Raw genomic sequence first — 1,442 nt, 5'->3', positions numbered from 1 at the left:
ATATGTGGGGTCTGAAGGTGAAGAGATTTGAGGCCATCCGCATGGCAGGTGGTGAGGTCAAGAGTAGAAGAGCTTGCCAAGGAAGAAGGCAGGAGATAGAGTGAGGAGAGGAGAAAGGCCGGCCTGGCCTTCTGAGGGAAATGCAGCAGATGAGGTGAGCAGAAAGAGGGAATCTGAGAAGCCTCGGCCACTCAAGGTCAACAAACCCTGGGGAACCCCCAGCCAGGACCCAGGAGGTGACCGAAGCCTTCTTCCTTATACAGGTTGGCTCCCGGGATGGTGCTAAGTAGCTGCCAGTTCATGTGTCTTTGCCTCCCCTAATAGTGTGGAAGCTCAGGTCCCTCTGACTCAATGCCATCTTGTGAAGGTTGCAGGGGGTCCCATCTGTCCTCTCACTGGCCTGTGAGAAGGCAGCGTGGGACTGAGGCCCAGGGCAGCCATGGATTCCCAGGCCCACATTGTGGCTGGGAGCAAAGCCCTCTGGCTCCCCTGACTTTTCAGGGCTAGAGCCCTGCAGGGAAGTGTACTCTACACCCCTAGACCCACTGTTCAAAAGCACTGCCTCCCCTTTAAGGGCCCTGGCCTTGCAGGGGTGTCCACCTGAGCACAAACTTCCAGAGGTGTCTTTGAATCCCCGACACTGCAGTCTGTTATCACTGGAGGGTGGTGGATTTTGGAGAGGGTACAGCACACACCACGGTGCCAGGCCTAGGGTGCAGAAGCTGTGGGGAAAGGGGTGGGCACACCCCAGCCCTCTGTACACTCCAGGGAAGAGCCAGCTGGGAAGGGTAACAGTCCCTGTCCCCTCCAGCATATCGCCAACTGGTTACCTCCTGGTCCATCCACTGCAACTCCAGGTGGACCCTGGATCACACACATTCTCCTTCTGTATCTGACCCAGAACAGGCCCCCTGAAACCTATTCATTCATTCACTCATTTAAGAAAAATTATGATGAGGCAGATGTGGCAATGAACTCTGAGGATACCCTGGTGAGTGAAGTTTTGATTTATTTCTGTTGAGCTCAGGTTCTGCAGGAGGAATGCATGGCCTTGTGATGGTTCATAATATGCTTGACCCAATCTGGAGCATCAAGGAGGGCTCTCAGAGGAGGTGACATTAAGACAGAGCCCCGAGGAATGCCCAGGAGTTAATTAGGTGAAGGGACTAGGGGTGAGGAGGGGAGGGGAGTGGGAGAGCGTTGTCCGGGCAGAAGGGACAGCCTGAAAGAAGATGCAGGGCTGAGGGGAGCATGGTGTCCAGCGGGGCTGACATCCGCCTTGAGCCACGTGCTGAGCCGCATGCTGTGATTCTCTTATCATATTCAAGAGCCTGGCCAGTGGCTTCAGCTCAGAGTTGGTTCCTGTAAGCCCAGAGGCTCTAATCCAGAAGTCGTCCTGCTTCCTCCTCCTATGTGTGCACTGCTGTTTTGGGAGCCAGTGG

At 55.2% G+C, this 1,442-nt stretch overlaps 1 annotated feature.

Annotated features, from left to right (window-relative positions):
* Positions 207–1,157: an enhancer, noted in NCBI's record as "H3K4me1 hESC enhancer chr10:72837401-72838351 (GRCh37/hg19 assembly coordinates)". NCBI's record gives its function as "activates a minimal SCP1, AML or CMV promoter by ChIP-STARR-seq in primed H9 embryonic stem cells {active_cell/tissue: H9 hESC(primed)}" and the evidence as "EXISTENCE:reporter gene assay evidence [ECO:0000049][PMID:30033119]".

The sequence above is a fragment of the Homo sapiens genome, chromosome 10 (genome assembly GCF_000001405.40).
Source record: "Homo sapiens chromosome 10, GRCh38.p14 Primary Assembly".
Lineage (NCBI taxonomy): Eukaryota > Metazoa > Chordata > Mammalia > Primates > Hominidae > Homo > Homo sapiens.
Note: the sequence above shows the minus strand (reverse complement) of the source record. Positions and strands in the feature narration are given on the sequence as shown.